The following is a 12,883-nucleotide window of genomic DNA, read 5'->3' on the forward strand; positions in this document are numbered from 1 at the left end:
GCAAACTTTGCAAGCCTCTCACTCCTGCTCAGAAGCCAGCAATGGCTCCTGCACGCGACAGGACGGAGTCCAAATTCACGAGCCTGGCACTCATGCCTTCTGAACACAGGCGCTGTTTCTCCTAGCCGTCCCTAAAAGGCCATCGGCTCTTCTCCCATTCCTTGGAAATGCTGTGTCCCCCACACCTGTGCCTTGCCTCGCTGTGTTCCCTCCGCCTAGCAGCAGGCTCTTCCCACCCCACCTTCCTCACCCCTCCCAGTCCTGCCTCCTTTATGGTCTAGCCATCCCAGAAACTATCTGTGATTCCTCCCTCCTCCAGAACTCTGTCTATCACACCTCACCAGCCACCATGGTTTGGGTCAATATCTTCTGGGTCAAGGCTCAGGGAAGGGTGACATAATGCTCCCACAACTGGCCAACGGTGGCACAGGTGATTTGGCAAGTAGAGGAATTTCTACTTCCACTGTGCTCACCCCAGCGCCCCCACAGGTGCTTGCTGCCCATCCTGCCCACCCCACCCTGCCCCGCCTCGCCTCTGCAGGATGGTCACCCTGGGTGGGCTTGAGTGGGAACCCAGGTCGGGGCCCCAAGCCACCCACAGCTGTCACTCACCCTGCCTTGCCGCCAGCCTCCATGTGGTTGGCTAGCGTGACATCGTTAGACCAGACGTCGAACTGCCACTTCCTGAGACCAAGGACACCGCAGTGTACTCGCCCGCTGTGAATTCCCACACGCATGTTCACGTTCACCCCTGTCACCTCCCGGACCAACCTGGGGATGGAGCAGGAGTAAAGCTGGGAGAAGGCTGGAGGCCAGGCACACAGAATGGGGGTGAGGCTGCAGGTGCAGGGAAGGTGAAGGTGCGGGGGTCAAAGAGTCTTCTCTCTCCCATCCAGCCCTAGAGTCCAAGAACGTTCAGCCTGAAGGGCACTGGGGCGGGCGGCAGGTGCAGTCGGCTGTGAAAGGGGCTGTTCCCGGCCTGGCCACAAGGTGGCGCGGTGCCACACTAAAACCTAGAGCCCTGCTGCTTCCCCTCCAGGAGGGCACCTCTGGCCAGCACTGCCCTGTCAATTAAATTGTGATTGGAAAAATGCAAATGCACGTTAGGGCCGACTTGAATTAAACAGGGAAGTTACCACCACTCCAAACCCTATTTGTATAATGCTCTTGTGGGTAAGACAGAAATGGCTTTTGGATTATCTTTTTATTGGATTTATCCACACTGCTGCTTCCAAGATGTTAGCAGGGTGATGGCAAAAGCTGGTTACCCAGGTTTCAAGGGTATGGCCTGCTCAGGAGGGAAGGGGAGCCTGGGCAGGTGCAGGGGCTTAGGGTGCTCCATGCCCTAGAGGAAAGCTTGGTCCCGGCCACATGCACCACATATCCATATCTGGGAGCTCCCAGTAGACAGGGCAGGCCCTCCGTATGCACTTATAACTCCTCATGCTGGGCGAGCAGTGGAGGCAGACTGGGAAGGAAGCCATACATCTCCAGGTGCATGTCTGAGGCCCATGGGAACCTGCCCAGCATCTGCAGGAGAGGGTGCAGGTGCCAGGAAGTAGGGTAATGGATGAACTCAGATTGCACTTTCTAGGGCCCTAGACCCTCCCTAACACCTGGGGCATGGGCGCACTCAGCTAGCCAGGGGACCAGCAGTCTGACTTGCCCCAGTGGGTGGGACCACCACTGAGACTCCCTGACCCCATCCCACGCCATCAGCAAGAGGCTGACACCCACTGCAGGGGAGACTGAGGTCACCCATCATTTCTCTTGTCCTGAATCAACTTGGTAAATACCTCCACTGCAGCAGAATACCTTCACTGAAATACTTTCCATCCACAGTGCCTTTGGATACTTGCTTAGCTTGACAATGGCTCATTCTGTCTTTTTGGCTTAACTCCACGGCCACCTCCTTCAGGCAAACTCTCTTGATCCTCTCAGTGGAATCAACTGTCCCCTCCTGGGCCCTCCTTCAATAGTCTGCCTCCCTTACCTCGCCGTGTCCACATGACGTGCCTTGTATCTGAGCACCAGGAGTCCTGGTCTCTCTCCCTTAAGGCTCTGTGCTTCCGGGGAGACTGATTGTCTAGCTCAGGCTTGCTGGGGACACTTGGCAAGTGCTGCAAGTAGAACTGAGCCAAACCAACGGACCCGGCTGCCTTCCTGGCAGCCACTCCCGCCTCTGACCTTGCCCTCTGTGCCTTTTTTCTCTGCCCCTGCCCAAGCTATTTCTAAAGCCCAAAGTCTCTGACTTGCTCCCTTGGCTGTCACATAAGCTTGCACCACCCATGTTTTTCAATGACCAGGGCTCCTTCTGTGGCCAGTGATAGCCATGAATTGGCCAAAGTGCCTTTTTGCTATGGCTCACAGGCAGGGTGATTCTCTCTAAGCGGAACACCTGCATTTGAATCCGCCTGCCTGGTAGTAGCACCCTGGGGAGTTGTCTAACCCCTATGAGCCCAACCTTTCACATCTGGGAAGAAGTGGAACCAGCAGTTCGATGCCTGGCTGGGTGTCTGTAGGAAACATGAGGCCCCGGAAGTGCAAGGGCCTCACACGGCACAGGATCCTCACATGGCTGCCAGCCTCTCCTCCACTCCTGGAGTCTGCAGAGCCCTCCCCTCCCACACACTTCCTCTGGGAAAAGCTGCCCAGGCTGCTGTAGGGAACAGGAACCCTGGAGAAGGCAGAAAGTCTGGTGGCACACGCCAACCCTCAGCTTGGCTGGGCACCTTTTGGCAGACAGTTTCACCCCACTGTTTCCCTGCCTCCAACTAGGCAGCCGGCAGGTCAGTCAGTCGCTCGGGCTGTGGACAGTCCCAGGGAGGGAGACGGTACCCGGGGGGTGGACACTTACGAGATGGCCTCGATCATGTCCATGCCCATCTCCACACAGCAGTGGGCGTGGTCAGCCCTTGCTTCAGGCAGCCCCGAGACGCAGTAATAACAATCCCCAAGGATCTTAATACGTAAACAGTGATTCTCCTGGAAAGCAAATTAATTTTACAAATTAAAAATAGTAGGAAAGAGAAGTGGGAGGGAAAGAAACGAGAAGCAAAAAGATTCACCCCGTGCCTGGAATAACTTGCCTTTTAGGGCAGTGAGCGCAGGCCCACGCCGGAACTCGGCATGGTCCTGGGACAGGCTTATCAGGAGACATTGGGGAGGGAGGGATTGTGGGGATGGAGGGATGGGCTGGGCAGCCCTGAGCGGCATTCCAGCTCCCAGACTCAGGAGCTCACTTTTAAAGATCCACTCCAGAGCCCCAAGAGGAATTTGGCTGGTCGAACTGCAGCTCAGCCAGCAGGGTGGCCTTATCAGCTTAAGGAAGGCCCCAAGCCCCAGTACAAGGGTCTCTGGTCCCCTCCACACCCCAGGAGTCACTCTGATTCGTTGCTTGAGATTCTATCAAAAGTTGTCTGATTCTCCTCCTTTTACAAAAAGACTGAAGCAGGCAGAAATGAGCTTTAACCAAAAGCTCACTGACTCAGCCTGTCTGAGACTTTTATCAAAAAAGAATTTTGCTCAACTAGCAAGCACATGAGTGCCAAGAATCCAACAGAGCTGCTGCTGAGTGACAGGTGCCACAGGGCCACCTGCAGGCCACCACCAATCCGTCAGTGGGATTGCGATAGAATATCAGTAATCATCAATTATGAGCGGTCCAACTCTGGCTCCCAAAGATAGTTGAGAAACAGGGATTCAAGTGCCCTTGTGGCCTGGACTCATTTGAGACCCAAGTGACAAGCAGGTGCTATTCACCTCATTCAGTTCAGTGACAAAATCCACAGGTAAGTATATGCGCTCCACCATGGAAGCCCCCAGAGAAGCCCTGGCACTGGCACTGACGGCACCAGCCTCTCATCAATAACCCGGCCTGGCGTCCTGTGTGGGCCAAGGGGAATGTGTCCACCCGTCAGTGGCCACTGACATTTAATCACTCTACAAAGGCCTAGAGCTGGGAAAGGATAATGGAGGGGTGAATAGGGGCCTAAGGAATGAACGTGTCGTTCACCACTCCCGGCCATGGAGTGTTACTTCCAATTTATCCAAACGTTTAAGAGTCCTCTTTCTGGATGCCGCTAGGGAATGGCACACAGCCGCCTGCAGGCCAGCTGGGGATTCAGACTCATTCTCTTATCAGTCTGGCCAATCTCATCAGGAATGTAGCTTGATGGCCCCTAATATGCCCCAGACAAACAGCTTATTCCCCTGGGGTTTGGGCAGTGTGACCGGCAGGCCTCACCACCCGCTTCCAAGGATGGGGGGCATGGAGGGCTCCCTACACTCTCGCTTGTGGTCAGCGACAGTGCTGAAAGCAACTCCAGCTAAGTGTGTCTCCAGGGCCCACGCAGGGCGTGAGGACACAGCCGCAGCCTAAGGGTCCCCTCTGCCCATCACCAGCAGGCTCTGCTCAGCAGGATATACCCAGGCACATGCCCATCCCTGGGGTTCAGCAGGTCCTCGACCACAGCAGCCTCCCTCAACAGCCCAGGTCAGGCCACCCCAACCCCCGGCTCAGGGTGACTCACTGCGGCCAGCTTGTCAAAGCGGGCGAAGAGCTCGTTGAGGGTCATGACCAGTTCCTGTGCAGTGCACTGGGACGCCAGGCTGGTGAAGCCCTCGATGTCAGCAAACAGGATGCTGGGGGACAGGCAGAGGAGGAAGACCCTGCTATAGGCTGAATCTTTGTGTCTCCCAAATTCATACATTACATCTTTTTTTTCTTTTCTTTTTTTTTAAGAAGAGGTCTTGCTCTATTGCCCAGGCTGGAGTGCAGTGGTGTGATCAAGGCTCACTGCAGCCTCGACTTCTTGGGCTCAGGGGATCCTCTCCCCTCAGCCTCCCAAGTAGCTGGGACTACAAGAGTTTGCCACCCTACCTGGCTAACTTTTTTTTTTTTTTTGGGTAGAGACAGGGTCTCGCTATGTTGTCCAGGCAGGTCTCAAACTCCTGGGCTCAAGCAATCCACCCACCTTGGCCTCACAAAGTGCTGGGATTACAGCCACGAGCCACCACACCTGGTTCCATTAAATCCTAATGCCCAATGTGATGGTATTAGGTGGGGCCTTTGAAAGATAATGAGGTCACAAGGGTGGAGCCCTCACGAATGGATTAGTGCCCTTATAAGAAGAGACAAGAGAGCTTGCTTCTTTGCTTTCTGCTCACCACTTCGTGACGATATGAGAAGGTGGCCGTCAGCAACCCAAAAGAGGGCCCTTGCCAGACTCTGATCATGCTGGCACCCTGATCCCAGACTTCCAGCCTCCAGAACCGTGAGAAATACACTGCTGTTGTCTGTAAGCCCCCGTTCTTTGGTATTCTCTTAGAGCAGCCTGAACAGACCAAGACAGACTTCCATGAGGGAGGAGAGGCAGGGCTTATGGCCAGGGCCCGGCCTGGAGCTCCCTGGGCCTGAGAGGGCTGCCAGCCAGCAAGAGTGCTGGGGGCTCCACGCGGCTGCTGGGCAGGGGACAAAGGCCCTGGCACTGGAGGGCCGAGGACGCTGCCTCTTTCTGCTGCTATCCTCCTTCTGTGCTCTAACGGCACCCTCCCCCAGCCCAGGAGGAAGGCAGGGGAGGGGCGTGAGGCCTGGGTGTGTGCCTCAGGAGGGTGCGGGACAGGGGGCCAGGCCCCAACTCCCAGTCATCTCTCAGGCCTGCCCGTTTGACCTCTGAGCACACCTCGAGGGCACTGGGCCTGCTCCTGGGGAAGAGAAGCCTTTTATACCTCTGCTCTGGAAGGCATTTCAGGCCAGAATGATGGCCCTGCAAACTCTGACTTCCCAATCCCACACAGAAAGGACTCTAGCCCCAAGCCCTCCATCCTGAGGGAGTCCTCTATCCCCTACAAGAAACACAGTAAAAGAGACCCAGGGAGGAGAAAGGAAGACACAGCCCGTCAGCGTCCCTGGAAGCCCCCAATTCCTCCTTCCCAGTTCCTCAGTGCACCAGCTGGTGATAGATCTTTCACCCGTCCCTGTGGCTTGTGTTCCCTAAGTTGAAAACATTTTCTTTTTCCTTTGAAATGGGAAGGGAAGTCCCCAGGACCAGAATCTGTAAGGGCCCCTGAATTTATTTTTCTTAAAAGGGACACAAAAATCTAAAAACTCTCATGTACTGAGATGCTCCTGGCAGCCAGGAGCTAAGCGGGAGGCTTCCAACATGTCATCTCACTGAGTCCGCGCAAAAGCCCTGCAAGTGAGGGGTCAGTGTCCCCATTTCACAGACGGGAGCCAAGTCTCAGAGCAGCCAGAGACAGCGGCGTGGCAGGATTCTTCCTCCAAGGTCTGTGCTCCTTCCCAGGCACCTCGGGACTCCTAAGGCTCCAGAACCATGTTTCAGTTTTAAAATTGATGTTGAACTAAACATATTTTGTCCTTTTATTCTAAAAATGTGTATTGGTACATTAAGCATGTCTTTTTAAATCAAATATTGGGCTCACACCTGTAATCCCAGCACTTTGGGAGGCTTAAGTGGGCGGACCACTTGAGGTCAGGTGTTCGAGCCCAGCCTGGCCAACATGGCAAAACCCCATTTCTACTAAAGATACAAAAATTAGCTGGGCGTGGTGGCATGCACCTGTAATCTCAGCTACTCAAGAGGCTGAGGCAGGAGAATCACTTGAACTCTGGAGACGGAGGTTGCAGTGAGCCGAGACAGTGCCACTGCACTCCAGCCTGGGTGACAGAGCTAGACTGTCTCAAATAATAATGAATAAATAAATAAATAAATTAAATATTGACAAATGATAATTGTATATATTTATGGGGTGGGTACAAAGTGATGTGATGTCACGTATCCACAGTGTGGAATGGTTGATTGGGCTAATCAGCAAATCCAACACCTCACATACTGCTCATTTATCCCTGCTGTCAGCTAACTGGAACATGGTACTCTTTACTAAGCCTGTCTTTATATTCCCATGCTTTGACATCCAAGGCTCCCGAGAGTTGGTGCCTCCCAAGACAAGCCAATTCCCAGAGACAGTAAACAACTTGCCTTAGGGTGTACCTTTCACACACAAACCAACCAACCCAGAGTCCACTGCTGACGACAACCCCTGCCCTCGCCACCCCAGGGACAGGCACTGGAGTCCCAGGCAACTTGGGACAGCCCCTACATACCGAGCCAGCGCAAAGACATTCTTCAAACCAGCCAAGCACTTGCCTTGCTACCCTTCCTTCCTGCACAAACCACAATAAAGGGCCCTGCTCCCTCGGCCTCCTGACTGCCCTGGTGCCTCCCCCTTGGCCTCTGCGTGGTGTGTCTCCTCCTCGTGGGAACTGTGAGTGACAATCTTAGCAGCAGTCCTCTCCCGATCTGTTGGCCTCACCATCATAAAACGTACATTTTAAAACAGTCAGACACTATTTTAAGCTCACAGAAATATTAACTCGTTCGCACCTCATAACCACCCCGTCAGGAAATGAGGACACAGAAAAGTCACCTGGCCAAGGCCACACAGGCACTGGCTCCACACTTTAGGAGTTGAACCAATCAAGATGATGCTGTCTGTAGGCCCCACAGACATCTTAAATGCGTAAAGGTATGATCCAACACCCTGGCACTGTGAGGGAGGTGGGAGGACCCCTGGGAGCTGCTGCTGTGGTACCGGACAGGTACAGGACCCCCCTGAGAGGGGTCACTCTCAGCAGCTTCTCACCAGCTCACAAGAAGAGAACCTCTTTTTTTCCACAGGGCCTGTGGAAACAGGTTGGGCCACCAGGGAGTGCATCCCAAGGCTTCAGCCAGGCTGTCCCACCTCCCAGGAGAAGCACAGGAGGGCAGCCCCCAACCACTGCTGTTTCCCCAAATCCTGGCTCCTCTGGCCACTTCAATAGAACAACCAAGGCAACTGTAAGAGTGAGGTCAGAGTGGGAGAAATGGGGACAGGGACAAGAGATGGAACAAATGAGAGGGAGAGAAGAAAAGGTGAGGAGGTGGAGCAGAGAGGACAGGCCCTATCCTGCCAGGCCAGGGGACTCAGGACAGCAGAGAGCTGCTCCAGCGTGTGCAGCTGTGGGATGGGCCCAGAAAATGAAAGGGAATTTGGATTCTCCATAAGCTCTCATGCCCGGTATCTGGTGTGGCTGGTGGGCCCACCACCCTGGCCCAGAGGTAGACTATGCTGGCGTGTGCATGCCTGGGGCAGGGTGCCTGCAGAACCCCATCCTGGCCCACCCTCCGCCTCCCTGCCTCCCAGGCACCTGCCCCCTCCACCCAGGGAGAAGGAGGAGGTCTCTCCCACAGTTTGTGAAAGCACCCACTCCATAGTTGTTCTGGAAATTCTTCTTCATCTCTCAGGAAATCAAAACCAAGGGAAGCTGGGGTCCAGACTGGCTGCACATGAGTCAAGGAGCATGTTCAGTGAGTATCCCCTTGGCCAACACCAGTACTTCAAACACAAAGCTGGCAGGCAGCACGACCAGTGGCTGGTCCACCCCGAGCCTGAGGCTATGCAGCAAAGGCCTGGCTTTGGGGGCTGGAGATGCCCCCGGGGTAGGAAGGAAAAAGTCCCCTAATCTAGCAGAGGTAGGACTGCCACCGAGCAGAGTAACACACAGCACCAGGAAGAGCAGAGGAGGTGAGAAGAGGGAGGGTGGGGCGCCCCAGACACACAAGGCAGACACATGTGGTCCCAGGGGCTCCCCTGCACTCCAACCTCCTGTGCCTGCCTGGCTGACCCAGCCACTCAGGTGGGCCAGGCCTCTGCCCACCCGTGCACTGGATGGCCAGGCCTGTGGTCAACTCATTCTCCACAGATGACCCTGCTGGACCTTGGCAAGCGCATTCTTCCATGGCAACTCTTGTCACACTAGACCATATGGTCCTGGGACCAGGCATCTCGTAGAACCACCTGGGGAGCTCTTACCTGGAGAGGCCCCCTACCCCCAGCCCCAGAGATTCTGACTTAATCGTCTGGGGTGGGCTCTGCTGTTGATTGTCTTTTTCTGTTTTATTTTCAGCTTCCCTGGTGACTGCACTATGTAGCCAGGGTTGAGAACCACCACACTAGTTTAAAGGTTGCCTCAAGAAAGCTTCTACCACCTCATTTAAATTTACAACCCTTCCCATCTGTCTATCTCCCTTCTCCACCATATTTTTCTCCACTGACTATGCTGTGTATTACTGTTGTTTATTATTATGCTCCGGTCTGTCTCTTCTCACTCAAATGTAAACTCTTTGAGGGAGAGATTTTATCTACTTGATTCACGGCTACGACCCAGCCCTTAGGAAACAAGCAGCTGAATGACGGCCTGGATGCGGCGGGCCATGCCTACCTTGGCCTCTGCTCTGCACCCTGCCTGACACCCAGCACAACACCCAGACATGAAAGGTGCCCCCGGTAGTTTCCTCAGGCTGCTGTAACAAAGCACCACCAACCAAGTGGCTGAAAACAACAGATTTTTATTGTCTCGTGGTTCTGGAAGCTGGAGGTCTGAGATCAAGGAGTCGGTAGGGCCCTGCTCCCGCTGAAACTCAACAGAATCTCTCCTTGTGTATTCCTAGCTTCTGGAGGCAGCCGCCATTCCTGGGCTTGCAGCCGCATCACTCCAGTCTCTGCCTTGGTCCTCACCAGGACTTCTCCCTGTGTGTCTGTGCTTTCACAAGGCAGTCTCTTCTCACAAGTTCACCATTCCTATTGGATTAGGAGCCCATCCTACTCCAGTATGACCTCATCTTTACTTGATTTCATCTGCAAAGATCTTGCTTCCAAATAAAACTACATTCACAGGTACCAGGGGTTCAATGTATCTTCTTTTAGGGGGATAAAATTCAACCCACAACAGTGCCTAATACTTATTTGTTGAAAGGAAGGAAACTTTCCTGTTTCCAAAGCAAGAGACACAACTAGTAACTCCAAATTGTGAGCTCTTCTTTCTGTCCCACAAAGCCTCTTGGAGTCTCAAGCATGTCACCTGAGACAGGAGCCCATGAAGTCCACGGCCTGTCCCCCAGCAGACGCTCCCAGCCATATGCACGGAACCAGTGGCTGAACAGGTACCAGGGACATGGGGACATGAGTGGCCTCTGGTTGTGTGCCAGGAGACATGAGAAACAACATTGATATGTGAGGAGCTCCACGTGCCTTTGAAAACCTGCACCTCCCTGCAGCCTCCTGGGAATCTACTCTTCCTGGCCAGCTGCTGAGGAACCAGGGAGGGGCAGGTCACCACCCACCAGGAAAGAGCCACTCAAAGCAAGGCATCTATGCCAGGTGTGCGGAAACCCAGGCAAGGTTGCTGCTGAGGCCCTGACTGTGAAGCCCCCAAAGCCTCACCACACATTTATATAAATCCTGCCACCCCCACATTCCCCCACCTCCTGTCAGAGACAAAGTCACATTTCTCTGCAGCTTTGGGGGAGGATTCTGCTTAATGACTGTCACTTCTGCAGGCTCCTGGGTTTTACAAGGTTTACCCTACAGCAGACTGTCTGTTCTGCTGGCCAGGATTTCCTGATCTGCCCCGGAGTAACTCTGAAGGCCATTTCCCAACTCAGCGCTGGCCCAGACGTGCAGGAAGGTGCTAATTCATCTATTAGCTCCCATCTGAGAGCTCCTCTTGGGAACAGGATCAGGCCCTCATGGCGGGTGCACAGAACTGGGATAGGGCCACCCTGGCTGTGCACGCTTCCCTAATTGCCTGCCATCCATCACTCACAGTCTCCTGCATTCTATTCCAGGGGCAAGAGTGGGAGACAGAGTCCCAGTTACCACAACAGGCCCTTCAGCCCTCCACAGCAGCTTTGGCTCAGCTTTCCAAACCACGTGCACTTTTGGTGAAGTGCATTTCCTCGTGGTTGTTCCATCTTGCTGCCAACAGGCCCATGACTTTATGAAGCTGTCAGAGCCTGGCCCTGCTCCTGTGCACATCCTGCAGCACCCTGGACACCCAGGTGCTGAGTTTTTCTAGTGGTCTAGGGGGGCCTGTAGTGCTAATCACCAGCTCCTCTGATCTCCTGCAGCCCCTGGCATCGTCAGAGCTACAGGACCACATCAAGAACTGTGCTGAGTGGTGGATGGTGGGAAGGGAGTATGGCAAGGTCTCAGCCCAACTCCCAGGAAGTTGGGAGCTGAAGGTGCCGGGGAAGTACCCGGAAGTGTCCAGTGTGGGCTGGGGAGGCTGAAGTGGCCACACCTCTGGATGGGCCAGTGGTCTCTTTTTGACCAAGAGTGCTGTCCCCTGCAGCGTGCCCCCTCCATTTGCCCCCCATCATCCAACCTGAAGAATCCTTTGGGCTCACATGTCCCTAGTAAGGTACAAGATGAGCAAGGAGTCACTCATGTCCTTTAGGGGAGTTAGCACAATCAGGTGTGGTCTTATTAACACTGGGCTGAGGTCAGACACCAGAGGGCTGTTTTCCAAGGAGTGGCACAAAAAAGATGAGAGAGGGGCATGTGAACTGGCAGCAGCCACAGGCCCATCCAGGGGCACAGGCTGGGAAAGGGAAAGGGGGAAAGGCCTATGGGAGCCTGCTGGACACAGAATGCCTGCACAAAGTCCACCAACAGGGAGAGCCTGCCCTGGGACAACCGTGCTCTCTCCACTCTCACAAGGACAACAGGACTCCTTTCTTCAGCAAGTGGAAACCAAGACAAGGGGCTGTCAGGACTGGGTCCAGGGGTCCTAGGTCGAGGCATGTCCTAGATTCGACTAAGGGCCTCCTGCAGGCCCCCTCCCACCCACCCAAACCCCTCTCGTTTCTGCCTACCCAAATCCTACCCCTACTGTACATACAATGGAACACCCCATAGCACCTACTGACATTCTGTTTAGAAAGTCTAGAAAGATTTAGGGAAATGCTTCCTGAAGGAAAATCACACAAAAGGAAGAAGAAACTGCAAGACCTAGCAATAGTTAGTGACCTCAGGGGGGAGTCTATGAGTGCTTTTTCTTCTCCATACTGCTCTTATTTTCCAATTTTTCTACAAAGAACATATATTCTTCACATAATAAAGATGTTTATTTTTTGCCACGCACAGTGGCTCATGCCTATAATCCCAGCACTTTGGGAGGCCAAGGCAGGAGGAACACTTGAGCCCAGGAGTCGGAGGCCGGTCTAAGCAACATAGTGAGACCCTGTCTCTGCAAAAAAAATTTAAAAATCAGCCAGGTGTGGCAGCAGGCACCTGGGGTCCGAGTTACTGGGAGCTGAGGTGGGAGAACTGTTTGAGCCCAGGAGGTCTAGGCTGCTGTGAGCCATGATCACACCACTGCACTCCAGCCTGGGTGACAGACTGAGACTTTGTTTCAAAAAAAAAGTAGAATAAAAAAGAAAAGTGTTTATTTTTTAAAAGGTAAAAAACAAATCACATTCTTCTTTTGGGGCCTGATTCTAACCCTTCCATCTTCATGATGTCTTCCTTGACTTACCCAAGCCCAGAATAATACTTCTTATGTCTAAACTTTTATTAGAATCGTAATCATACATAACAGCTGATTCCAGCTGTTTCAAAGACATAGCCGGGCAAATTCAACTGGTCAGCGCCTCTTTGCTCTGTCTTCCCTCCCTTCTTATCTCCCACAGGGCCCCTCATTTTGAGTCCAGAGAGCTAAAATAGTAAGTTCTTGCTGGCTGCTGGCTCCAGTCCCCACCAATTAAGGCAAACTGAGGTCTTTTGTTGGAACACAATCCCAGGTAAGGATGTGGAGGAATTCGAACCCTTGTGCACTGCTGGGAAGAAGGTCAAATGGTGCAGCCCCTCTGGAAAACAGGATGGCAGTTCCTCCAAAAGCTAAAGATAGAATCGCCGTATGATCCAGCAATGCCATTCTAGATATACACCCACCAAAACTGAAAGCACAGGCCAGGCATGGTGGCTCACTTCTGTAATCCCAGCACTTTGGGAGGCTGAGGCAGGCGGATCACCTGAGGTC

General features: G+C 53.6%; 1 protein-coding gene across 18 annotated transcripts in view, besides 3 other annotated features; it reads right to left on the reverse strand.

The window, feature by feature from the left end:
- Positions 1 to 12,883, reverse strand: part of ADCY5 (adenylate cyclase 5) — a 166,795-nt gene that overhangs the window by 45,736 nt on the left and 108,176 nt on the right. For 17 of the 18 annotated variants that reach the window (NM_183357.3, NM_001378259.1, XM_011512359.3 and 14 more), the window contains exons 4-6: positions 4,533 to 4,644; positions 2,858 to 2,985; positions 613 to 771 (exon numbers count right to left, since the gene is read on the reverse strand). In NM_183357.3, coding sequence (NP_899200.1) covers positions 613 to 771; positions 2,858 to 2,985; positions 4,533 to 4,644 — 399 coding nt within the window. Of the gene's footprint in view, positions 1 to 612; positions 772 to 2,857; positions 2,986 to 4,532; positions 4,645 to 7,126; positions 7,203 to 12,883 lie in introns of those variants that run through there. The other variant, XM_047447365.1, reaches the window with a different exon arrangement.
- Positions 317 to 818: an enhancer, noted in NCBI's record as "H3K4me1 hESC enhancer chr3:123047195-123047696 (GRCh37/hg19 assembly coordinates)". NCBI's record gives its function as "activates a minimal SCP1, AML or CMV promoter by ChIP-STARR-seq in primed H9 embryonic stem cells {active_cell/tissue: H9 hESC(primed)}" and the evidence as "EXISTENCE:reporter gene assay evidence [ECO:0000049][PMID:30033119]".
- Positions 819 to 1,318: an enhancer, noted in NCBI's record as "H3K4me1 hESC enhancer chr3:123047697-123048196 (GRCh37/hg19 assembly coordinates)". NCBI's record gives its function as "activates a minimal SCP1, AML or CMV promoter by ChIP-STARR-seq in primed H9 embryonic stem cells {active_cell/tissue: H9 hESC(primed)}" and the evidence as "EXISTENCE:reporter gene assay evidence [ECO:0000049][PMID:30033119]".
- Positions 2,540 to 3,327: an enhancer, noted in NCBI's record as "H3K27ac-H3K4me1 hESC enhancer chr3:123049418-123050205 (GRCh37/hg19 assembly coordinates)". NCBI's record gives its function as "activates a minimal SCP1, AML or CMV promoter by ChIP-STARR-seq in primed H9 embryonic stem cells {active_cell/tissue: H9 hESC(primed)}" and the evidence as "EXISTENCE:reporter gene assay evidence [ECO:0000049][PMID:30033119]".

The sequence above is a fragment of the Homo sapiens genome, chromosome 3, assembly GCF_000001405.40.
Source record: "Homo sapiens chromosome 3, GRCh38.p14 Primary Assembly".
In the NCBI taxonomy this organism is placed as follows: Eukaryota; Metazoa; Chordata; class Mammalia; order Primates; family Hominidae; genus Homo; species Homo sapiens.